The following is a 25,231-nucleotide window of genomic DNA, read 5'->3' on the forward strand; positions in this document are numbered from 1 at the left end:
TACTCGCAGGGGCCTCAGAGGGACCTCCCACTCCCCTTCTTCCATGCTGAGGCATACTCTGGCTTTCTCCCCGACCCCGCCCTTCGTTCTCTGAGACTCCTTCCCACACTGCGCCCACCTGCACCCACGAGAACGCACTCCACACCCCTTCTCCATATTCTCTGCCCCTGACATCCCACTGAGATCTGCATGAGTTTTCCCTGGCTCCTCTTCAGTCCCCCCACTGCCGGTGCCAGATGCATCCAGAACTGGGTCAGGGTTAGCTCAGGCATCCTTGTAGCTTTCTCAGACTCCCTCTCGGACCCCTCTGCCAAGTTGGGCTTCCACAGCTGCAGGAAGCGCTCCTTGTGATATCACACTGCTTTTCTATAGTCCTGGTCGCAGAACTTTTATCTGTTAACAGTCACTGGTTTAGGTCCATATTTAGATCAAATGCGTTTTTTGGAAAGAGGTTACTGTTTGCCGCTGCAAATCTAGGCTAAGACAGAAGGAAAATGAAAATTTTCCCGGGAAAATTTTGGGCAGGATGCATGGCTGCTAACCAAAGGGTTGAGAGGTGACAAGACACTTAAACCATTTCCAGTTTGAACTGTGTCAATTTCTTTTTAACTTTACGTATTCACCTTTAAGTTCTCAACTTAAAGGCACTGACCATAACTCACACCATCTTATATCCCATATAGCACTCAGCTGGTGACCTCAAAACAGAGCTGGAGTTGCGTAAACATTTGTTGTTTTCGTTTATTCCTCTTCTCTAAGAAATCTCAGATTGATGGAAACCTATCCTGCCCTAACTTTAAAGAGATTTCAAAACCCTTGCTTATAAAGGAATTATTTTTATCTACTCTATATCCTCCTTGTGGTAATAGAAGCCAGTTTCTTCTTGTTCCTTTTACTGTAAAGATGAGTAGGATTAAAGCTGCTCAGAGCCAAGTCCTGGCAGTACCGAGCTTCCTCTGGGCACAGAGCTGGGGTGTGTGAGATTACAGCTGGCAGTGCAAACTCCCACTGATGTTGGCCTTGAGCTCAGGAGCATTGCCAACTACACAGAGGTTTTCTTGGAATTAGGAATGCAGTTCAGAGGCAGTGGAAAAGTCAGAATGTCCATCTCAAGCAAAGATTTCAGTTACACAGCTACGGCATTTTCTCCCTTTCTTAATAACAAACACGCTACAGAAGAATGTTTGTCACTGTAATTATTGTCCAGGCAAAGATTGCAAATTCCAGCCAGTAAGTAAACGCCTAAATGAGTATGACTGTCTGTAACACCCTACCTAAGATGATCTTAATGTACAAGATACATAAAGCTATAGCTTTCTTACCAATAGTTTGTGACAAATGTGTAACAAAATTTGCCATCACTAAAGTCTTTTTTAGCTGATGGAATGAATTGTTGTCTTGGGGCGCTGACAAAGATGGTGAAATCCTGCCCTGCCTTTGTTTAAAATACTCCTCAAAGGTCCACAATGATACCCTTGTGTTTGGTTGGCAGGATGAGACAGGAGCCTATCTGATTGACAGGGACCCCACCTACTTTGGTCCTATCCTCAACTACCTCCGCCACGGGAAACTCATCATCACTAAGGAGTTGGCAGAAGAAGGTAAGCGCACTGTTTGCATTGGGGATTTTCAAAATGCAAGTAGAATCTTTAAAGTTGTTTTACAGATTTCAATTTTGTTTGACATTTTCATCAGGCGCATGTGCAGGTATAGTTTCAGGTTTATGAAACAGAGCAGAAACTACCAGTCTTGTCTGAGGGAGTCATGATTAAGGAAGCCTCCTTAGGCTTTGTTCAGCTTCCTGGGTGAGAAGGAAGATAGGTAGCTCCGCTTTGCAGATAACTTCAGGAGTTCTTTCCGAATCTCCAGAATTGTCACGATCCTTTTTTTACATTTGTTTGTGTGCTAGCAGTGAGTGTCTGTAGTCTGAAGAAGCAAGACATCTCTGACATTCAATTATTTATAGTTTTAATTTTGGTTTGAACTCACAGTTGTACAAAAATAATAAAGGCTTGGCCTCATTTCTTTTAAGACTCTGGCCTCATGCTTCCCTGTAAATGTTTGCAGCTGACCTAATTCATTCTCTAGTTCATTGTCAGGTGTATCATTACTTGCCTCATCTTTGTGGTTTGTAGGGCATTGGGACTATAAGTGGGTCTAGTCCACTTTCTACAAGGCTTGGCATGGTCCCACTGAAGGCATTCAGTTGTAAAGGGGACTGTCCCTAAATCCAGGGCACCCTGATCTGGGAGCTTTGGCTCTGAGTAAGAAAGCTTGTAATGGCTGTACTAGTTAATGAAGTGACTGTGAAACAACTCTGTTTCAGCTAGTAGAAAGAGGAATTGCTCTCTCTCTCTTTTTTTAAATGTCCCTTTTTAAACAATATTTCAAACGCATACAGAAGTAATGGGAATAGTACATACAGTGAATTCCTTGCATCCACTATCCAGCTTCAACAATTACCAACTCATGGGTGATCTTAATCTTATTTATTTTTCTTTTTTAATTTTTGTAAGTACCTAGTAGGTGTATATATTTATGGGGTACATGAGATTTTTCTTTTTTTTTTCTTCGCTCAGGCTGGAGTGCACTGGCACAATCTTGACTCACTGCAACCTCAGCCTCCTGGGTTCAAGCGATTCTCCTGCCTCAGCCTCCCAAGTAGCTGGGATTACAGGCGTGCACCACCATGCTTGACTAATTTTTTGTATTTTTAGTAGAGACAGGGTTTCACCATGTTGACCAGGCTGGTCTTGAACTCCTAACCTCAAGTGATCCACCTGCCTCAGCCTCCCAGAGTGCTGGGATTACAGGCCTGAGCCTCCGCGCCCGACCTGAGATGTTTGGATATAGGCATGCAGTGTGAAATAAGCACATCATGGAGAATGGGGTATCCATCCCCTCAAGCATTTATCCTTTGTGATACAAAAATTCAATTACCCTCTTTTAGTTAAGTATCTTTTCTAATGCCTTTAATTAAAAAAACTTTATTTTGAAGTAATTTAAAACTTCAAAATAAGCAAGAAAAGAGCAAGAATAACACAGAGAACTCCCTATATCCCAGATTAACCAATTTTCAATGTTATTTTTGTCATATTTGGGGTATGGGGAGATCTTTTTGTTGTTTTTTTAAGAGTCAGAGTCTATCTTATCTTGCCCAGGCTGGTCTCAAATGTCTGGCCTCACATGCTCCTCCTGCCTCAGCCTCCTGAGTAGCTGCGATTATAGGCATGAGCCATCATGCCCAGCTTTTTTTTTTTTTTTGAGACGGAGTCTTGCTCTGTTGCCCAGGCTGGAGTGCAGTGGCGCAATCTCGGCTCACTGCAAGCTCCACCTCCCAGGTTCACGTCATTCTCCTGCCTCAGCCTCCCGAGTAGCTGGGACTATAGGCGCCCACCACCACACCCAGTTAATTTTTTGTATTTTTAGTAGAGACAGGGTTTCACCATATTAGCCAGGATGGTCTCATCTCGATCTCCTGACCTTGTGATCTGCCTGCCTCAGCCTCCCAAAGTACTGGGATTACAGACATGAGCCACCGCGCCCGACCTTTTTTTTTTTTTTTTTTTTTTTTGGCGACAGAGTCTCCCTCTGTTGCCCAGGCTGGAGTGCAATGGCACTATCACAGCTCACTGCGACATCCACCTCCCGGGTTCAAGCGATTTTCCTGCCTCAGCCTCCTGAGTACCTGGGATTACAGGTGCATGCCACCACGCCTGGCTAATTTTTTTATTTTTGGTAGAGACGGGGGTTTCACCATGTTGGTCAGGCTGGTCTTGAACTCCTGACCTCGTGATCCACCCGCCTTGGCCTCCCGAAATGCTGCGATTACAGGCGTGAGCCACCATGCCCGACCTTTTTTTTTTTTAAATCATATTTGCATTGTCCTTCATTCTCTATTTCCCCCTCCCTACCCCCATCCTCTTGCCTCTCCCACCACAGTTATTTCTGAACTATTTGAGAATAGATTGCAGATTTCACCCCTTAATATTTGTATATATTTCCCAAGAACAAGGATACTGTTTTATGTAACCACAGACAGTACAGTTATCAAACTCAGGAAATTTAATACTGATGCTTTTATCTACAGCTTATATTGCAGTTTTGTCAGTTGTCCTAATAATGGCCTTTATAGCAAATTTATTCCTATAGGATCACACGTCTCATAGTTGCCCTAAGGCCTTTGAGTTCATTTAGCATGCAAGTCTTTAAATGGTTGCCTTTTATATTGTTCAAATGATTAGCATCCTATTAAGTTTGGCCCACATAAATTTGTACACACACCTCCACCCCCACCCCCAGTCCTTTTGAGGGCAGATTGGACAAAAATATCAAGTTCAGGAGGTGTCCAACATGACTAGTTCCAGGAACTAAGTGACATATGGGAAAAGTGTCCTGCAGCTAATGGGCAGGTGCCAGGTAGGGAAAGGAGGGTTGAAATGGAGTGAGCAGAACATACCCTGGCGTTTGACTAATTTATGTTGGAGAAAAGGTCATGGGTTTACCGAAAATAGCAAAGAGATATTTCCTAGCAGAAGGAGAGAGATTGGATTTGCATTTAAATAATGCAGTTTTTAGGCCAGGAGCTGTGGCTCATGCCTGTAATCCCAACACTTGGAAGGCCAAGGTGGGCGGATCACTTGAGGTTAGGAGTTTGAGACCAGCCTGGCCAACATGGCAAAACCCCGTCTCTGCGAAAAATACAAAAATTGGCTGGGTGCGGTGGCTTTACGCCTGTAATCCCAGAACTTTGGGAGGCCAAGGCAGATGGATCACCTGAGGTCAGGAGTTCAAGACCAGCCTGACCAACATGATGAAACCCTGTCTCTACTAAAAATACAAAAAATTAGCCAGGCGTGGTGGCAAGCGCCTGTAATCCCAGCTACTTGGAAGGCTGAGGCAGCAGAATCTCTTGAACCCAGCAGGCGGAGTTTGCAGTGAGCCAAGATCATGCCATTGCACTCCAACCTGGGCAACAAGAATGAAACTCTGTTTCGGGCGGGGGGAAAAAATAGAAACAGCCGGGTGTGGTGGTATGTGCCTGTAGTCCCAGCTACTTGGGAGACTGAGGCAAGAGAATCATTTGAACGCAGGAGGCGGAGGTTGCCGTGAGCCAAGATCGCACCACTGAACTCCAGCCTGGGCGACAGAGTAAGACTCCGTCTCAAAAAATAAGTAAATAAATAAATAAGCAGTTTTTAGCAAGCATGTAACCTTCATCCTCTCCTTGGTGTTTTTCTGGCAAACCCTCGCACCTATCTGACTGCAGTTTTGTCCTTGTTCCAGGTGTGCTGGAGGAAGCGGAGTTTTACAACATCGCGTCCCTTGTGCGGCTGGTTAAGGAAAGGATACGGGACAATGAGAACAGAACTTCACAAGTAATGTATTTGGAACTGTTAAGGAGGGTTGTTTCAAGTGGGCTTCTGTCGGTCGGTCTGTGATTTGAAAAGGATGCCTTTACCCTTAGAGCTGGAGGTGTGTGTGGAACACCGTTTGCAGTGCAGGGAATGCACACTCAGCCAAACTGCACAGGAGAAAAGAAGAAACCACAAAGAAAACAGAATAGGCCTATGTCCCAATAGAATGAGAAGATTGTCGCTGCTTACCAGATGGCGGGAGGAGGCGCCCAGGGCACTTTAGGTCTAAAACCTGTTCTCTGCCCGAGTATGTCTCCCTCCTAAAGACCATAGAGGTCTTGGTTGCACCCGTTGGCCGCTCTTTTTTTTTTTATGAGATGGAGTCTCGCCCTGTCGCCCAGGCCGGAGTGCAGTGGTGCAATCTCGGCTCACTGCAACCTCTGCCTCCCAGGTTCAAGTAATTCTCCTGCCTCAGCCTCCCGTGTAGCTGGGACTACAGGTGTGTGCCACCACGCCTGACTAATTTTTGTATTTTTTTAGTAGAGATGGGGTTTCACCATGTTGGTCAGGCTGGTCTCGAACTCCCGACCTCAGGTGATCTGCCCGCCTCAGCCTCCCAAAGTGCTGGGATTACAGGCGTGAGGCACTGCGCCCAGCTTGGCCACTCTTTATGGAGATGAGCCTTTAGCATGTGATCGAGTCACATGCAGCTCCTGTGAGCCACTTGAAACCAGTCTCATGGGGTACGCTTCAGCAGCTGCTTGTGAACCATGCTTTTTTTTTTTTTTTTTTTTTTTTTTGAGACAGAGTCTCACTCTCTCCCCCAGGCTGGCCTCCCAAAGTGCTAGGATTACAGGAGTGAGCCACCACACCCAGCCTGAACCATGCTTCTAAGAACATAATATCAAGCTGCTCTTTATGATGGTGTCTTGATTTTGGCGGGGAGAGGGAGGACAAGGTCTCACTCCCGTTGCCCAGGTTGGAGTGCAGTGGCGTGATCACAGCTCACTGCAGCCTTGGCTTCCCAGGCTCAGGTGATTTTCCTACCTCAGCCTACCGAGTAGCTGGGACTACAGCTGCAAGCTACCACACCTGGCTAATTTTTTGTATTTTGGGTAGAAACGAGCCTTGTTGGCCAGGCTGGTCTCAAACTCCTGAACTCAAGCAACCCGCCCACCTCATCCTCCCAAAGTTCTGGAATTACAGGTGTGAGCTACCGCACCTGGCCTTGATTTTGATATTAACTCAGATACAGTAACAAGAGCGAAAGGGAATTTGCCCACCTAGTTAGAGGAAAGAAAGATGTTACGGCACATCTATTTCACATCCTGCCATTCGTCATATGTTTGTCGTGTGTTTGAATGGCCATAATAGCTTCTATTTGGCCCTTGGGATTCTGTAAGTAATTGAAAGTCCTTGCCCTCAAGAAGCTTGAAGTCGGCCGGGCGCGGTGGCTCACGCCTGTAATCCCAGCACTTTGGGAGGCCGAGACGGGCAGATCATGAGGTCAGGAGATCGAGACCATCCTGGCTAACACGGTGAAACCCCGTCTCTACTAAAAATACAAAAAAAATTAGCCAGGCATGGTGATGGGTGCCTGTAGTCCCAGCTGCTCGGGAGGCTGAAGCAGGAGAATGGTGTGAACCCAGGAGGCGGAGCTTGTAGTGAGCCAAGATCGCACCACTGCACCACTCCAGCCTGGGCGACAGAGGGAGACTCCATCTCAAAAAAAAAAAAAAGAAGCTTGAAGTATAGCCAGGAAAATAGACCCTCTCTTTCATGCGATTAGACTGTTTTAAGAAACTGCAACTACAGAGTTAACAGTAAGAAGGCAGAGTCGTGCTCCACCATGACTACCTGTGTTGTAGCATAATTGCCTCTTTTCCCATCAGATACTGGTAGTAGATGCTTTAGGTATAATCTATTGCAGCACAGAATTTTCCTGCCATTAAGAAGGCAGGAAAATTATTCTTTTTTCTTCTTTTTTTGAGGCAGAGTTTTCCTCTGTCACCCAGGCAGGAGTGCAGTGGCATGATCTCGGCTTACTGCAACCTCTGCCTCCCAGGTTCAAGCGATTCTCATGTCTCAGCCACCTGAGTAGCTGTGATTACAGGTGTGTGCCACAATGCCTGGCTAATTTTTGTATTTTTAGTAGAGATGGTGTTTCGCCATATTGACCAGGCTGGTCTTGAACTTCAGGCCTCAAGTGATCCACTTGCCTCAGCCTCCCAAAGTGCTGGGATTACAGGCATGAGGCACCATGCCTGGCATAAGTTTACTTTTAAAAGTAAAAAATAATGCCTTGGTCTTTCTATGTTAGATTTCATATATCAAAGTTTTCTGGCTCTAGGCCAGGTATGGTGGCTCACGCCTGTAATCCCAGCACTCTGGGAGGCTGAGGAGGGCAGATCACTTGAGGTCAGGAGTTCAAGACCAGCCTGGCCAACATGGTGAAACCCTGTCTACTGGCCGGGCGTGGTGGCTCATGCCTGTAATCCCAGCACTTTGGGAGGCCGAGGCAGGTGGATCACCTGAGGTCAGGAGTTCAAGACGAGCCTGACTAACATGGAGAAACCCTGTCTCTACTAAAAATACAAAAGTAGCTGGGGTGGTGGCACATGCCTGTAATCCCAGCTACTTGGGAGGCTGAGGCAGGAGAATGGCTTGAACCCGGGAGGAGGAGGTTGTGGTGAGCCGAGATCACGCCATTGCACTCCAGCCTGGGCAACAGGAGCGAAACTCCCATCTAAAAAAAAAAAAAGAAAGAAAGAAACCCTGTCTACTAAAAATACGAAAATTGTCTGAGTGTGGTAGCGGGCGCCTATAATCCCAGCTACTTGGGAGGCTGAGGCAGGAGAATCGCTTGAACTAAGATAGCAGAGGTTGCAGTGAGCTGAGATGGCACCACTGCACCCCAGCCTGGGCAACAGAGTGAGACTCCATCTCAAAAAAAAAAAGTTTTCTGGCTCTAACTGGAATATTTGGATGAATAACTGACACTAATGATGAAAAATTAACTCTTTTATCCACTTTATCTCCAGCAGTTTGCAAAAGTGAAGAGAAGGGCTTATTCATTTAGTTTTCTTCCATCTAGCTGACAGCTCAAAGGCTCCTTTTTGATGTTCAAAGGTGGCTTTGTAGTTGGTTTGCAGATTACCACTTGGAATGTGATCCAGTGTCACCAGTCTCTTTGCTATCTTACCTTTACGTGGTATCTTTCACTATTGTAGATATTTAATAGTTTAGACATTTTGGTAATCTAGCCTTATCCTCAGTTTCCCACATTCTAAAAAAATGATTGCTTACTATAGATTTTAAAGTACCATGAATTATGTAATTTGAAATGATTCAAGTCATGGTACCTGAACATTCTCCCTTCTTCGTCATTAGCTAATTCCTGGAGAGCATTATAAGATTTCTGTTTGATGACCGCAATTAAATTAATTAGTCTTCTAGATTCTGAAGGCTTGTGGATTTATACCCCTTTGGAAGCTTTTTTGTTCTAGGAATGTCAAGACCTTTTTGATGTTAACTATCTTTCCATCTGTCCTTTTTATGTAGTGAAACTGAAAAATGGATTTGATGTTATTCAAAGACACCCTCTTTTATACTTGTTGTATGTGGCTCTAAGATGAAGTTGGCTGTGTGTGGATTTTCGTTTTGTTTCATTTTGTATTTTTCTTTATTTTTTTGTGTGTGGATTTTCAAACATGTTACCTCCTTGAACTTACCTGTAGCCCCTCACACATGCAGGATTCAAGCCAAGCCCAAGATGTGGGCCTCAACCCTACCTTCGGTTTCATGACCTCTTAGCTCTTAGTGGCTGCCACCTAACTACTTTCCTCTGTTTCTTTTTTTTTCTTTTTTCTTTTTTTTTTTTTTTTTTTGGAGACAGAGTCTCGCTGTGTTGACCAGGCTGGAGTGCAGTGATGCGATCTCAGCTCACTGCAACCTCTGCCTCCTGGGTTCCAGCGATTCACCTGCCTCAGCTTCCCGAGTAGCTAGATTACAGGTGTGCACCACCACGCCCGGCTAATTTTTGTATTTTTAGTAGAGACAGGGTATCCCCATGTTGGCCACACTGGCCTCAAACTCTTGATCTTAGGCGAGCCACCAACCTCAGCCTCCCAAAGTGCTGGGATTACAGGCGTGAGCAACCATACCCAGACTCCTATTTCTTAGAATAGTATTTTTTGTAGGTGATTGATCCTGGTGCATTTGAGAGCACAAGTGGTTTACTTTGGAAGGGAGAAAAAAGAGGCAGTATAATGGCATCTTAAATACCTGGGACTTTGACAGCTGTGGCCAACATCACAGATCTTTTGTGATACTCTGAATTTTGTACTTATACAATTGGTTTCCAAAATAAGTGGTTACAACCAATTAAAATCTTCAGAGGATTTGTACTATATGTAATATGGAAGGAAATCTTTGAAATCCTTAGTACTTTGGTTAATGATAGCTATACCTCTTTTTTTTTTTTTTTTTTCCTCGAGGCAGAGTCTTACTCTGTCGCCCAGGCTGGAGTGCAATGGCGCGATCTCAGCTCGCTGCAACTTCTGCCTCCGGGGTTCAAGCAGTTCTCCCGCCTCAGCCTCCCGAGTAGCTGGGATTACAGGCACGTGCCACCTCACCTGGCTAATTTTTTGTGTTTTTAGTAGAGATGGGGTTTCACCATGTTGGCCAGGCTGGTCTTGAACTCCCAACCTCAGATGATCCGCCCACCTCGGTCTCCCAAAGTGCTGGGATTATAGGCGTGAGTCACTGCACCCGGCGATCGTTATACCTCTTTTGGAAGAAAACATAGAAGAAAAAATACAGCATTGTCGGCCGGACACAGTGGCTCATGCCTGTAATCCCAGCACTTTGGGAGGCCTAGGTGGGTGGATCGCCTCAGGTCAAGACCAGCCTGGCCAACATGGCGAAATCCCGTCTCCACTAAAAATCCAAAAAAATTGGCTGGGCACAGTGGCTCATGCCTGTAATCCCAGCACTTTGGGGGCCCAAGGCGGGCGGATCACCTGAGGTCAGGAGTTTGAGACCAGCCTGGCCAACATGGTGAGACTTCGTCTCTACTAAAAATACAAAACTTAGCCAAGCGTGGTGGTGGGCGGCTGTAATCCCAGCTATTCAAGAGGCTGCTGAAGCAGGAGAATCGCTTGAACTCGGGAGGCGGAGATTGCAGTGAGCTGAGATGGTGCCATTGCACTCCAGCCTGGGCGACAGAGCGAGACTCTCTCAAAAAAAAAAAAGGAAAAAAAAATAAAAAATTAGCTGGGCGTAGTGGCACATGCCTGTAATCCCAGCTACTCGGGAGGCTGAGGCAGGAGAATCGCTTGAACCAGGGAGGTGGAGGTTGCAGTGAGCCAAGATCACCCCACTGCACTCCAGACTGGGCAACAGAGCGAGACTCCATCTCAAAAATAATAATAAGGCTGGGTGCGGTGGCTCATGCCTGTAATCCCAGCACTTTGGGAGACCAGGGCAGGTGGATCATGAGGTCAGGAGTTCAAGACCAAGCCTGGCCAACATGGTGAATCCCCTTCTCTACTAAAAATACAAAAATTAGCCAGGCTTAGCGGCAGGCGCCTGTAATCCCAGCTATTCGGGAGGCTGAGGCGGGAGAATCGCTTGAACCGGGGAGGCGGAGTTGCAGTGAGCTGAGATCGCGCCACTGTACTCCAGCCTGGGCGACAGAGTGAGACTGTGTCTTAAAAAATAATAATAAATAGGCCGGGCGCGGTGGCTCATGCCTGTAATCCCAGCACTTTGGGAGGCCGAGGCGGGTGGATCACGAGGTCAGGAGATCGAGACCATCCTGGCTAACACAGTGAAACCCCGTCTCTACTAAAAAATACAAAAAATTAGCCGGGCGTGGTGGCGGGTGCCTGTAGTCCCAGCTACTTGGGAGGCTGAGGCAGGAGAATGGCGTGAACCTGGGAGGCAGAGCCTGCAGTGAGCCAAGATTGCACCATTGCACTCCAGCCTGGGCGACAGAGCGAGACTCCGTCTCAAAAATAAATAAATAAAATTATAATAATAATAAATAATAATAATTTTACCTTATTTTTGACTTGGGGAAATGGATTAAATCTAAGTTTGTTGGCATAGTTGCTCAAGCATTCATCCCTCTGAAGTTCAGAATTATTTTACCTTTTTTATTCTTTCACTCTTTGGATATGTTTTTATTGAAAAGCCACAGTATGCTGGCTTGTGGTCACTTAAAAAGAAAAACATTTTTTAAAGAGAAGGGAAAAAAAGAAACGCCACAGTACTATTTGTAAAAGGGGATAGTGGGTGGCTGCCAAGAAAAGATTTCCAAGCAAACTCCTTTTCAGTGTTTATTCATTTGAAGAGCCTCCTTGGGGCAGCTGCAAACTGTGGTGTCCTTGGTGCTGTTCTCAGTCTGCGCCTGGTCATTGCAGGGCCCCGTGAAGCACGTGTACAGAGTCCTGCAGTGTCAGGAAGAAGAGCTCACGCAGATGGTGTCCACGATGTCCGACGGCTGGAAATTCGAACAGGTACATCTCTTAACAGAGCAGCAATCCCAGGCCCCGTTCAAGGGGTCTGCAGCTCTTCAAACAATCAGTGTGGATGGCCAATTAATAACCACGGGAGACGGCTACGGCCAGGTGGGATCCTATTCCAAAACATGGGCAAAGAGCCATTTGGTGGGCACTGCTGGCCTAGTGGTGCGTGAGGAGTTGGGGAAACAGAGGAGCATCATGTCTTAGCTTCACACGCAGACTTTCCAGGGGAGCCAACGAGCAGTTTAGGCTTGAAGTGCCTCAAAGCCTTTGGTTTTTGTTCCCTCACAGGGATCGTAGAATGAGTCCCTAAAGGAGACTGGGATTCGACAACAATCCTTCCATTTCTTTTCCCAGGGTCAGAACTTTTTGGTTCTGAATGTCTTATGTAATCCACCGTGAAGAGCTTGGTGAACAGCTGTGCTAGGAAGGATCAGGCGCCATGGGAAGTGTGGTGCGGCCGTTTCCCCTACTTCTCTCCGCCTCGTGCTTACGACTGAGCTATCAAAACAAAGCTATGACAGTTGGAGCTTCACTGTTCTCCTCCATTAGATGGCAGACTTGTTAAATTCTGTTGCCTTCAAAACATAGGAAGGCCAGAGCGAATAGAGTAAATACAATTTTTTTTTTTTTTGGAAAGTCAAATCCCTTTCTTCATTCCATCCCTTTTAGACATGGCATTTAAAACAGACATTGCTACATCACTAACTTCCCACAAGCTGTGGTGTCCACTGGAAAAATGTAGTCCTTGATATTTCTATTTCACATTCAAGTGATCCTCTGCCACTTATTAACTGGTTCACTTCAATTTCAAAAAGCCAAAAAAGTCCTCTAACATAAGCCTTCCAAGGTGATACTTTCAGAAACCAGGGTTGGAACTAACCAGACAACAGCGCGACAGCCAAGACCAGCTGCTCTTGATGCCCTTTTCACTTCTGTGTTGTCCTGGTTGAAGTTGGCAAAGAGCAGCTGGCCGGCGCCGGCCTCCCCGCTCTGGCTCGCCAGGTTCATGGCTGGGCGCGTGGCGAGTGGGCCCGGCCAGGGAGGGCGCGCGTGCGAGGGCGGGTCAGGCTGCACTCAGGGTCTCGGTCGCCGCCACTCGCCACCCTGGGATCAACCGCCTGAGTAAATATGATTTTATACGGATTATGCCTACTTATGTGTAGAGTTTTAACAGGTCAACAGCTGTCTCACCAGATGCTTACCTTCTAAAAGAAAACTCACACTTTGCATTAATGCTGTTATCTCACAGATCAAGTGCAAAGCTGTCTCTGCCTTCAGAGCCAGCGGTGATTATTTCTCACACTTAGCTTCCACCACGGAATCCACTCTGCCTGTGTCTGTCATCCTGGTTCTTACTGGGCATGGGTTGTAAAACGTCGCCAAGAGTTTAATGCCCTCCACTCCAGAAGTATTTTTCCTAATATGAGCTCTTAAGCAAAGGATTTTTTTAATGTATTCTTTGTGAAACTAAAATGAATAATTTCTTGTTAATTTCTCATCTTATTACTGTCCCGTGGGAAGACGGAGGGTGTTCCTATTGCCTCCCTTCTGGATGAGGAAGTTTGTTTCAGACAGGCGGAGGCGCCCCCAGCCCCATCCTACCACAGTCAGCCATGCCGCCCATGTGAGGCCTCGCCTGCTCACTGGGATGCCCTCACCCTCTGCCTGAGCTGCTCCCCTGCGTGTGTATTTCCTCTTTAGAATTAAATTCTGAATTCTATTATCCAAAAAGGTTAAAAGTACCAGCATGCTGGGCACGGTGGTTCACACCTGTAATCTCGGCACTTTGGGAGGCCACGGTGGGAGGATTGCTTGAGTCCTGGAGTTCGGAGACCAGCCTGGGCAACATAGCGAGACCCCCCTTCTCTATCAAAAATAAAAGAATTAGCCAGGCATGGTGGCTGTAGTCCCTGTAGTCCCAGCTACTCAGGAGGCTGACGTGGGAGGATCACTTGAGACCAGGAGGTGGAGGCTACAGTGAGCTGTGATTGCACCACTGCACTCCAGCTTGGGTGACAGAGCTAGACCCTGTCTGGAAATAAAAAGTACCAGCAGCATATGACTTCCAGTAGCTGATCAGTGATTGGCTCGGTGCTTTCCAGAGCCTCCTGTCCCCAGTCTAGGGCTTCTGCTGATAGAGGAGCCAGCTGTGTGTGTGACTGAGGCAAATGTCCATTTTGTTGGCAGATGCGTTCTGTCTTCCCTTGCTGTGCTCGACGGGGCGTGGGCATGTTAATCCTGCCGCTGACGGGGGGGGACTTCAGAGCTTGGGTGAGGGGACAGTGGAGCTCATACTCTTCCTCCTGGGGAGGCCTCACCAATGATGCCCTGATGAAGAACAGGCCCATTTCTCCCCGGGGGCTTTGGTAGTCACAGAGAACTCATATAAAGAGTTAAACCTTTGATAACTTAAAAGTTCAGTCGGAAGAGGGGTGATTTGTGTAGCACTTTCGAAAGTATGTTAAGATTGCCACATGAATGTTCACTGTATTCTTGGTTCATCAGCTCATCAGCATCGGATCTTCCTATAACTACGGCAATGAGGATCAGGCAGAATTCCTCTGTGTTGTCTCCAGAGAACTAAATAATTCTACCAATGGCATCGTCATAGAGCCGAGCGAAAAGGCGAAGGTAAGGAGCCCCTTCCCTGGGCAGTTGCCTCTGGCTTGCTTGTTCGCACCCCCTCCGTGGGCTTTTCCTGAACTCTTGCTCCTCACTTCTTCCCTGGCCTTCTAGAGCCAGCGTTGCATTTTCCCCTCGTTTTGTTATTTTTGACTGTTGTAATTTAATTGGGATTTACGGAGCACTGACAGGTGTTTTTAGTTAGAAAATATGAACCTAAAAAGGGTAGACTTTCTCCATCCTCTGCCAAATCAATGAAAAAGAAAAGCTGGTTGCCACTAATTACTACAGGGTAGGATTTCTGAACTCAGACTTGGAAGGTATTTTGATTTATTCTTTAAAACTGTGCTTTTTTCACTGCCTCAGGAGAAAAGGGTGTTTTCTTACCTTGGTGACCTTTACCTCCCTTAAGTTCCTGGAAAACTGTTTCTTTTCCCTCCACTGTGCACCCCCCTCACCCCCAACACACACACACACACACACACACACACACACACACACACACACAGCTTCTAAATCGTGGATACCAGGTAAGCTGGAACCACTTCCTTTCAGTTGGCAAAGCTTTGGTCCAACAGCATATAAGCTTTAGACCCAGCTGTGCCCAGCAAGAGAGTGTTTCGCACCAGAAGCACTGCGGGTGAGGCTGCGGCTGCACCCCTGCTTGCTTCCTGGGATGACAGGACCATCATGCCACTCATCGGGTCCAGTGGAAAGCATCCCCCGACATCTCTGTCTTTCCCTCAGCAGCCTCAGCCTCTCCCCCATCTCCAACTTTCAGATTCTTCAGGAGAGAGGATCGCGGATGTAAACTAAGACCCCGAAAACTCCAGACCTTCAGGAGAGCAGTCAGCAGAGCCCCTCTGTGAAGTGAAACCTCACTCCTGTCCAGTGACCGAGCCACTGCAAAGCACAGCTGATCCTGGCCCCCTGTGAAGAAGTGTTCTGGTCAAAACTAAAGGAACTCCCTCCCCACCTGCAGGACTCCGAAGACAGTGCGACTTCTGGCTGCAGAATACCTTTTCAGAAACCTGCTTTCATTTGCTTAGCCAGTATTAGAACAGATCTTTACAACAGCAGCTGGGCTGGGTTCCCAGTCGGAGCCTTTCGGGGATCTGGGGGATGAGGGCGGAAGGCCTAGCTCCTTGGAAATGGCCTGTACTTTAAGGACGCTGGAGCCAAGAGGATTGTTCCCGTGCCGTGCCATGGTTTCACCCTATGTGTGCCACAATGGACGTTAGCAGCTGCTTCGGAACACCGTCCCTCCTATGCACCCTCCAAGACGTGCAGCAGATGCAAAGGGTTCTAGCTGCAGTTTGTCGAATTGAGGTTTTAGGTAAAGCATAGAGTTGCCAGAGTACCCCGCATTCCCATGAATAGAGCCTCCAAGGAAAGGGAGGATGGGGTGTCCTTTGTTGTGGTTGGAGGTTGGTGATCATTGCTCTGGATTTGGGGCTCCCGGCTGCCACCACATGCAGCTTTGCCTCACCTTTCTCCAGCAGCCGGGACCCTCTGGAGAGCTTGTTTTCCCTCCAAGAAGAGGTTTGAGACAGGCGGCATCCTGCACTGAGTCAGACAAGTGGGAGCTGTAGGAACTGCACCTGCAGCCTCTTCTTACTCCCCATTGACCCTGTCTTCCTTCCCTGGCTTTTTCAACTGGACCAAAGATGAAGGCACTTATGGACCCTTTGATGGCTTGGAGTGGGGAAGGCTGTTTCTTTGAAAGTTGCCAAATGTGTTATGTTGTGTCTCAGAGAGAGTTATTTCTGTGACTCTCTTGGAAATGCCTTGACTGAATGTGCAATATTTGTGTCTCTTGGTTTCTAACCTTGGCGGACCTGCTCCCCTCTGTACTGTCCCCAGTGGTATGTATGTATGTGCTAGGCAGTCTGGGGACCCCCTGTGTCTCTGACCACCCCCCTGACCCCCGCCATTACTTTCTTTTCTGGAGTGCCATGCTGGCGAGGATCCGGATGCGGCAGCACCCTCTTTCGGGCTGCATCCACAGAGTTTGTGTCCACACTTTCTCTCCGAGCATGTGGGTCTCGCTGAGCAGTCATGGAATGCGGTAGAGCCAGGGGACCCTGTCTGCCCCGAATAACTTTCAGTAGTATGGCAGATGGCACAGAGAAAGGGAAGGGGCTCTGGGGACTTCTCCTTCTATGAAAGCCTCCTCGAGCCAGGTGCTCCTGGGCACCTTCAGAAGTGATGTCCTGTGTGCTCCACAGCTCACCTGCTTGCCAAGGTACGTCTGGGTAGTAGTTTCTGGAAATGACTGCAGACTGTGCCAAATGTCTTTTGAGCTTCTGACCTGACCATGCCCAGATGGCATAACTTTTCCCTAGGACCCTCAGTCTCCTTGTTTCTCTGTATCTGTAGCATAGCATAGAACCCGGTATACAGGGGTTTCTGCTGACACATCAACGTCTACACACCTATGCGCCACATTTTACAGCTGTAAAGTGTTAGATGAACTGCCGTCCTCAGTAAAAGCAGCCACCCCTTCAAGAGTCACAGGCATCCATCCAGTCGTATCTTTCAGAGAAAAAAAAAGTTAGATGTAGCCAAGGAAAGTAGTGATCACGGGAAGGACTGCTCTGAGCCGGGTAGGATGGAGGACTTTGGAAGAGGCGCTCCTTGGCCAGGTCCAATGAGTAACATCAGACTGACAGAGGAAAAGCAGCTTGGTTTGCGGCCTTGTGCCCAGTCTCGTTGAGGCGCTTGTCCCTGTCTGCTTTCCTGGGGCATGCCTGATCAGCGTGGGCTGGAGCTCCTAGACCAACCCCAGCTTTCTCACCAGGTTCAGCAAGGAGGCCTGGGGGTCAGACACCAATGTTGAGCACCTCCTGAGGGCGCCGTTTCCTTCATTCCTCTTAGATTCCATAGTTGCCGCCATGAAAAGACTGCTCTTGAGCCCCAAGGCACAGGCACGTGCTCTGGGAAATAGACAGGAGTGGTATTTCCGCCCTCTCGGAGGGCTGGTGTTCACCAAGTTTCCCTCCTCGCTGCAACCCAATGACACCTGTATTGTTCCAGCGCTCCAGGACTCTGGGTTCTTAAGATTTCTGGGAGCGTTGTTCACCCACCCCCTTTAGGAACCAGGCTGGTGTTCTTGCTTGAAAGCGTTGTGCCCTCTGAGTGTCTGGCTGATCACATCAGAGAGGTCTGCGTGGCAGTTTGGGGCTGTCACGTGACCAGTGACCCACACTCTCTGCTGCCCAGTACTGCCAAGTGGGGAGGGTCCTGCCTTTTTCTCTGCCCCAGGTCTGGGACGCAGGTGATGCCAGCCAGGCCCAGGAGTGCCCAGCATCCCCCAACTGATGACACAGTAGCACTGATTCTGTCTTTTCCTCAGAATCTGGCCTTTTTCCATGGCAATGAGGTGGGGCCCAGCCTCCTCTAAAGTGACTTTGTTTCTGCACAGTTGTAACTGCTCTTGGGGATGTCAGTGAGGCTGGGAGCAGGGAGCCACGGGATGCTGAGAGAGGAGGCCCGAGAGGACACCCCACCCTCCAGCGTGGCCTTTGATCCAGACTTAGGGACGAGGCTGTCACTGGTGGGCACCCTCTGTTCCTGTTTGTGTGTTTGAATAGTCTGAAATGCTGTGACTTTTTTTGTGTGAATAAAGATATGAAACTTCTGAATCTCAAGAACTGTGGTGTGTTTTCCATTACTGCAGTCTCCTGGTTCCCACTGTCACTTCCTGTCGATGGTTCTCACATGGGTTTCAGGAGATGACTTAACTACCTTTCCTACCAGGACAGCTGACTAAGTCCTTTTCTCCTGCTACTGAAACCACCAAAGGGGGTGTTGGGCCTTCTCCCTCCTCCCTTTCATTTTACTGAATCTGAAAAGACCCAGAGAATGCAGAGAAACAGAAGGTGGGACGGATGGGCTGCCCACCAGAGAGCTGGAAAGAGACAAGGGGAGGAGTGTGAGATTTTTTTTTTTTTTTTTTTTCCCCGAGATGGAGTCTCGCTCTGTCACCCAGGCTAGAGTGTAGTGGTGCAATCTCGGCTCACTGCAACCTCTGCCTCCCATGTTCAAGCAATTCTCCCTCGGCTTCCTGAGTAGCTGGGATTACAGGCGCCTGCCTGCGCGCCTGGCTAATTTTTGTATTTTTAGTAGAGACAGTATTTTGCTGTGTTGGCCAGGCTGGTCTCGAACTCCGACCTCAGGTGATCCTCCCGCCTCAGCCCCCCAAAGTGCTGGGGTTACAGGCATGAGCCACCATCCCCGGCCGTGAGATGGTTTTTAAGGGACAAGTCTTTCTGGAAGAGAGTGAGTGACTAGGTACAAGGAAGAGGATGAGTGAGGAACGTTTGGTGACAACCAACAAACAAGTATTGATCACTTCAGCATCAGGCGGGGCATGGGAAACTCAGAAGGTGTTAGTCCCTTCCAGACAGCACTTTCAGGTAGGGAGACAAAATGGACTCATACAGCTTAGTGAACAGGATGCGTGGGTGCATCCGTCAGGGTCCAATTGAGACCACAGCAGTTGTTAACTGGTAGTGGAGAAAGGAAAGGGCAGGAGTGGACACTGAGGCATCACAATGTAGGGATTGCAGGGTGCAGTCCTCACTCCTGGGACCTGAGAACAGTGGGAAGACATTGGGATTATTAAAGTGGAGATTTGGCCGGGCGCGGTGGCTCACACCTGTAATCTCAGCTCTTTGGGAGGCCAAGGCAGGCGGATCACCTGAGGTCAGGAGTTCGAAACCAGCCTGACTAACGTGGAGAAACCCCATCTCTACTAAAAAATACAAAATTAGCCGGACCAGCTACTCGGGAGGCTGAGGCAGGAGAATCACTTGAACCTGAGAGGTGGAGGTTGTGGTGAGCCGAGAGCACGCCATTGCACTCCAGCCTGGGCAACAAGAGCAAAACTCCGCCTCAAAAAAATAAAAGGGCTGGGCGCAGTGGCTCACGCCTGTAATCCCAGCACTTTGGGACGCCGAGGCGAGCGGATCACGAGGTCAGGAGATCTAGACTATCCTGGCCAACATGGTGAAACCCCGTCTCTACTAAAAATATAAAAATTAGCTGGGCATGGTGGCAGGTGCCTGTAATCCCAGCTACTCTACTCGGGAGGCTGAGGCAGGAGAATGGCTTGAACCCGGGAGGCAGAGGTTGCAATGAGCAGAGATCACGCCACTGCACTCCAACCTGGTGACAGAGCGAGACTCAGTCTCAAAAAAAAAAAAAAAAAAAAAAGATTCACCTGCACTTTGGGAGGCCCAAGCTGGGAGGATTGCTTGAGCCCAGGAGTGTGAGATCAGCCTGGGCATCGTGGTGAGACTCTGTCTCTATGTAAAATTAAATCTAAAAATAAAATAAGGCCAAGTGTGGTGGCTCACACCTGTAATCCCAGCACTTTGGGAGGCCGAGGCAGGCAGATCACTTGAAGTCAGATGTTTGAGACCAGCCTGGCCAACATGGTGAAACCCTGTTTCTACTAAAAATACAAAAATTAGCCGGGCATGGTGGCACATGCTTGTAATCCCAGCTACTTGGGTGGCTGAGGCACGAGAATTGCTTGAACCCGGGAGGTGGAGGTTGCAGTGGGCTGAGATCACACCACTGCACTCCAACCTGGGTGACAGAGATTGTGTCTCAAAATAAAATGGAGATTCAAGAGGAGGGGACCAATGGAGAAGGACGTGCTGGCCAGTGGCAGCTGCTGCCTCTCAGAGGGTAGAGAAACCACCAAGAAACCAGCACCACTCCTGGAATCAGCTATGCCAGCACACAGCAGTGTTCTGTGGTTTGGCTCACAACAGGAAATACATCGTCCCTCCTTTTTTTCTCTCGTCTTGCAGTCTCCCTCAGCCTGTCCTACCAGGTTGAGCTAGGAGGGGGAAAATGTGGCTCGGAGCAGAGTTCAGAGGGTGGGTTTGGGGCTGAGAGACAACAATGTGGTGACTGGCTCAGTCCACCTGTTTGGTTCCCCTCACATGTACATGCTTCTGCACATACTTGAACTTGCATAGGATGGTGAAAAATGCTGGGTGTGGTGGCTCATGCCTATAATCCCAGCACTTTGGGAGGCCAAGGCAGGTGGATCACTTGAGGTCAGGAGTTTGAGACCAGCCTGGCCAACATGATGAAACCCCGTCTCTACTAAAAATACAAAGAATTAGGCTGGGCGCGGTGGCTCACGCCTGTAATCCCAGCACTTTGGGAGGCCAAGGCGGGTGGATCACGAGGTCAGGAGATGGAGACCATCCTGGCTAACACGGTGAAACCCTGTCTCTACTAAAAATACAAAAAATTAGCTGGGCGTAGTGGTGGGCACCTGTAGTCCCAGCTACTCGGGAGGCTGAGGCAGGGGAATGGCGTGAACTCGGGAGGTGGAGCTTGCAGTGAGCCAAGATCGCGCCACTGCACTCCAGCCTGGGCGACAGAGCGAGACTCCGTCTCAAAAAAAAAAAAAAAAAAAAATTAGCTATGCGTGGTGGCGGGTGCCTGTAATCCCAGGTACTCTGGAGGCTGAGGCAGGAAAATCGCTTGAACTCAGGAGACAGAGGTTGCAGTAAGCCGAGATCATGCCATTGCGCTCCATCCTGGGCAACAAGAGCGAAACTCCGACTCGGAAAAAAAGAAAAAAAAACGTGGTGAAAAAACAACTTCATGCCTCCATGGAACAAGATACAACTACCCTTCTACAAGCAAAAATAATCTCTCCTTCCCTCCAAAATAAACACGAAGTGCCAAGTCATTGTATCCCTGTCTCAGAGACAGTCACTATTTCTGAGCTATGTTAATTGCTCCTAATTGCCAGGCTCACACCTGGAATCCCAGTACTTTGGGAAGCTGAAGTGGGAGGACTGCTTGAGGCCAGGAGTTCAAGACCAGGATGGGCAACATAGGCCCCATCTATAAAATTTTTTTTTTAATTAGCCAGGCGTGGTGACACATGCCTGTAGTTCCAGCTACTCAGGAGGCTGAGGTGGGAGGATCACTTGAGCCAAGGATTTCAAAGCTGCAGTGAGCTGTGCCCTCTAGCCTGAGAGACAGAGTGAGACACTGTCTCTCTTTTTTTTTTTTTGAGACGGAGTTTCACTCTTGTTGCCCAGGCTGGAGTGCAATGGTATCATCTAGGCTCACTGCAACCTCCGCCTCCCAGGTTCAAGCGATTCTCCTGCCTCAGCCTCCCGAGTAGCTGGGATTACAGGCGTGTGCCACCACATCCAGCTAATTTTTGTATTTTTAGTAGAGACAATGTTTTACCATGTTGGCCAGGATGGTTTGATCTCCTGACCTCGTGATCCACCCGGCTCGGCCTCCCAAAGTGCTGGGATTACAGGCGTGAGCCACTATGCCCAGCCAGAACCTGTCTCTTAAAAAAAAAAAAAAAAATTGGCCAGTTACCATGGCCCACACCTGTAATCCCAGCACTTTGGGAGGCTGAGGTGAGAGGATTGCTTGAGGCCAGGAGTTCAAGACCATCTTGGGCAACATAGCAAGACCTGTCTCTACAAAAGAAAAAAATTTTTGTTAATTACTCCTAATTCGGTTGGTGTAATACACAACACCTAGTTGGTGACGGGCAGCTCAGGCCACAGGGTCACTTGATGTCCCATGAACTAGGTGTTCCATCTCGGTCAGGGCCCAGTGAAATAGTTACTTGCAAAAGAGGACATGGACCTGCCCAGAACCCTGGAGTTCTGCATGGCCACAGTCCAGTTGGGACTTGCAGGAGGCTCTGATACAGCATCTGTACTGGCAGGAGATAATTTCAGTATCACTGGATCTCCCCAGCCATAAAGCCCAGGTGGCAGCACAGAGCTAAATTTTTAATAAGAGTCATACCACACAGAAAGATTTTCATCAGTAAAGCTTTCCCCTGGAGTAAACTGTTACTCCATGAAGCCAGATTAATTCCTTGATCAATTTTCTATACAGGGCAATTAAATTGCTTCTAAGTTTTATATTTTCATTTTAATTTTTACTTAAATACTTTCATTAAGATCATGGTTTTCCTAGAATCTTTCTGAACTTACTCTGATTCAGAGGACTGCCCAATTAAAAAAAAAAAAAGACTGGGGCCGGGCGTGGTGGCTCACGCCTGTAATCCCAGCACTTTGGGAAGGCAAGGTGGGCAGATCACCTGAGGTCAGGAGTTCGAGACAAGCCCAGCCAATATGGTGAAACCCCGTCTCTACTAAAATACAAAAATGAGCCAGGCATGGCGGCAGGTGCCTGTAATTCCAGCTACTCAGGAGGCAGAGGCAGGAGAATCACTTGAACCCGGGAGGTGGAGGTTGTAGTGAGCCAAGATCACGCCACTGCACTCCAACCTGGGCAACAGAGTGAGACTCTGTCTCAAAAACAAATAAATAAATAAAAATAAAATATCGGCCAGATGTGGTAGCTCATTTGTGTAATCCCAGCCCTTTGGGAGGCCGGGGCAGGTGGATCGTATTCGAGGCTGCAGGGAGCTATGATTGTGCCACTGTACTCCAGCCTGGGCAACAGAGTGAGAAACCCTGTCTCAAAAAAAGAAAAAAATATATGCTTGGCCAGGAGAGGTGGCTCATACCTATAAACCCAGGTACTTGGGAGGCTGAGGTGAAAGGATTGCTTGAGCCTGGAAGGTCAAGGCTTGCTTGCTTGCTTGCTTGCTTGCCTGCCTGCCTGCCTGCCTGCCTTCCTTCTTTCTTTCTTTCGAGGCTGAGGTAAAAGGATTGCTTGAGCCTGGGTGGTTGAGGCCTTTCTTTCTTTCTTTCTTTCTTTCTTTCTTTCTTTCTTTCTTCTTTCTTCCTTCCTTTCTTTCTTTCTGTTTCTTTCTTTCTTTCTTTCTCTTTCTTTCTTTCTCTCTTTCTTTCTTTCCTTCTCTCTCTTTCTCTCTTTTTTTTTTGATGGAGTCTTGCTCTGTTGCCCAGGCTGGAGTGCAGTGGCACCATCTTGGCCCATTGCAACCTCCACCTCCAAGGTTCAAGCGATTCCCCTGCCTCAGCCTCCCGAGGTAGCTGGGATTACAAGCGCCCGCCACCACACCCGGCTAATTTTTGTATTTTTAGTAGAGACGGGTTTTTGCCATGTGGGCCAGGCTGGTCTCAAACTCCTGACCTTAGGTGATCCACCTGCCTCGGCTTCCCAAAGTGCTGGGATTACAGGCCTGAGCCACTGTGCCCAGCCGTGTGAGGGTATTTTCAACCGTCCGTCTGTCAGCTCTTAGGACACATTCCCAGAAGAATAGAAAGATAGTTTATGTAGAAATACATGTGAAGTGTCATTAGTGGAAAAAAAATTTTTTTAAACAAAGTATGTAACCATATTTAGCTGTATAAGAGAAATTTATTTGTGCACACAGTATAAAGTTAATTTTTCTTTTTTTTTGAGACAGAGTTTCACACTTGTTGCCCAGGCTGGAGTGCAATGGCACTATCTCGGCTCACTGCAACCTCCACATCCTGGGTTCAAGTGATTCTCCTGCCTCAGCCTCCTGAGTACCTTGGATACAGACATGTGCCACCATGCCTGCCTAATTTTGTATTTTTAGTAGAGACAGGGTTTCACCATGTTGGTCAGGCTGGTCTCGAACACCTAACCTCATGTGATCGCCCACCTTGGCCTCCCAACGTGCTGGGATTACAGGCCTGAGCCATCGCATCCAGCCTAAAGTTAATTTTTTCAAGGATTTAAATACATCTTTTGTAAGGTTTTTAAAATAAAGGCAGATTGAGTCAAGTTTATTGAAACTTTACATGGAGGGAAAGAATATGCTAATTTGACATTTTAGAGAAGTTTAAATGCAAGCGTTTGTTGTCCCAGCTTAGAGATTGGTGGGTGAGGTCTGTGTGTGTCATTTTCATGTTCCAAAACGGTGAGCTTTATCTTATGTTATTTTTGGTGGATGTTGACTTAGTTCATGAATGTTGTCACTTCTAAATGTGGACAGTTGGGCTGGAAGATAACACAGCCTCTTCCGGAGCCTAGTAATCCCTGCCAAGCCCCCATCAGTCATATTTCTAAATGAAGACATTATTTTGTTCACATTTCCTTGGAAGAAAATTAAGCAGCTATTAAAGTCATGGTCACCAGGGTCATGTTGTGGCATAAAAAGTACTAGTGAGTTAAATAAGGATTCAGAATTGTATGTATGAAACCTCTATCAACATATCAAAATCCAAGCGCATCACTTTAGGTTGTGTGACTCTCCCCCTTTCCTCCATTTTCCTTTCTTTTTTTTTTGAGATGGAGTTTCTCTCTTGTCGCCCAATCTGGAGTGTAATGGCACGACCTCAACTCATTGCAACCTCTGCCTCCTGGGTTCAAGCAATTCTCCTGCCTCAACTTCCCAAGTAGCTGGGATTACAGGCACCTGCCACTTCGCCCAGCTAATTTTTGTATTTTTTGTAGAGACGGGGTTTCACCATGTTGGCCAGGCTAATTTTGAACTCCTGACCTCAGGTGATCTGCCTGCCTCAGCCTCCCAAAGTGCTGGGATTACAGGCGTGAGCACTGGTGCCAGGTCGCCTCCATTTTCAAATTGTGTTTAAGGCTGGGAGCCGTGATTCACACCCGTAATCCCAGCATTTTGGAAGGCCGAGGCAGGCAGATCATTCGAGGCCAGGAGTTCAAGACGAGTCTGGCCAACATGGTGAAACCCCGTCTCTACTAAAATATACCAAAAAAAATAAAATTAGCCAGACGTGGTGCCGCACGCTTGTAATCACAGCTACTCAAGTAGCTGAGGCATGAGAATCAAGAATC

General features: G+C 47.8%; 1 protein-coding gene across 3 annotated transcripts in view, besides 1 other annotated feature; it reads left to right on the forward strand.

The window, feature by feature from the left end:
• KCTD2 (potassium channel tetramerization domain containing 2) overlaps positions 1-18,159 on the forward strand; it is a 33,316-nt gene extending 15,157 nt beyond the window's left edge. For all 3 annotated transcript variants that reach the window (NR_110835.2, NR_110834.2, NM_015353.3), the window contains 5 exons: positions 1,493-1,601; positions 5,287-5,378; positions 11,783-11,878; positions 14,393-14,518; positions 15,291-18,159. Coding sequence is in view for 1 of the 3 variants with exons in the window: in NM_015353.3 (NP_056168.1) it covers positions 1,493-1,601; positions 5,287-5,378; positions 11,783-11,878; positions 14,393-14,518; positions 15,291-15,320 (453 nt within the window). In the remaining 2 variants the exon portion in view is untranslated. The remainder of the gene's footprint in view (positions 1-1,492; positions 1,602-5,286; positions 5,379-11,782; positions 11,879-14,392; positions 14,519-15,290) is intronic.
• Positions 20,105-20,174: an enhancer, noted in NCBI's record as "active region_12732". NCBI's record gives its function as "activates an Ori minimal core promoter by ATAC-STARR-seq in GM12878 lymphoblastoid cells {active_cell/tissue: GM12878}" and the evidence as "EXISTENCE:reporter gene assay evidence [ECO:0000049][PMID:35858748]".

Source organism: Homo sapiens, chromosome 17 (assembly GCF_000001405.40).
Source record: "Homo sapiens chromosome 17, GRCh38.p14 Primary Assembly".
NCBI classification, from domain to species: domain Eukaryota; kingdom Metazoa; phylum Chordata; class Mammalia; order Primates; family Hominidae; genus Homo; species Homo sapiens.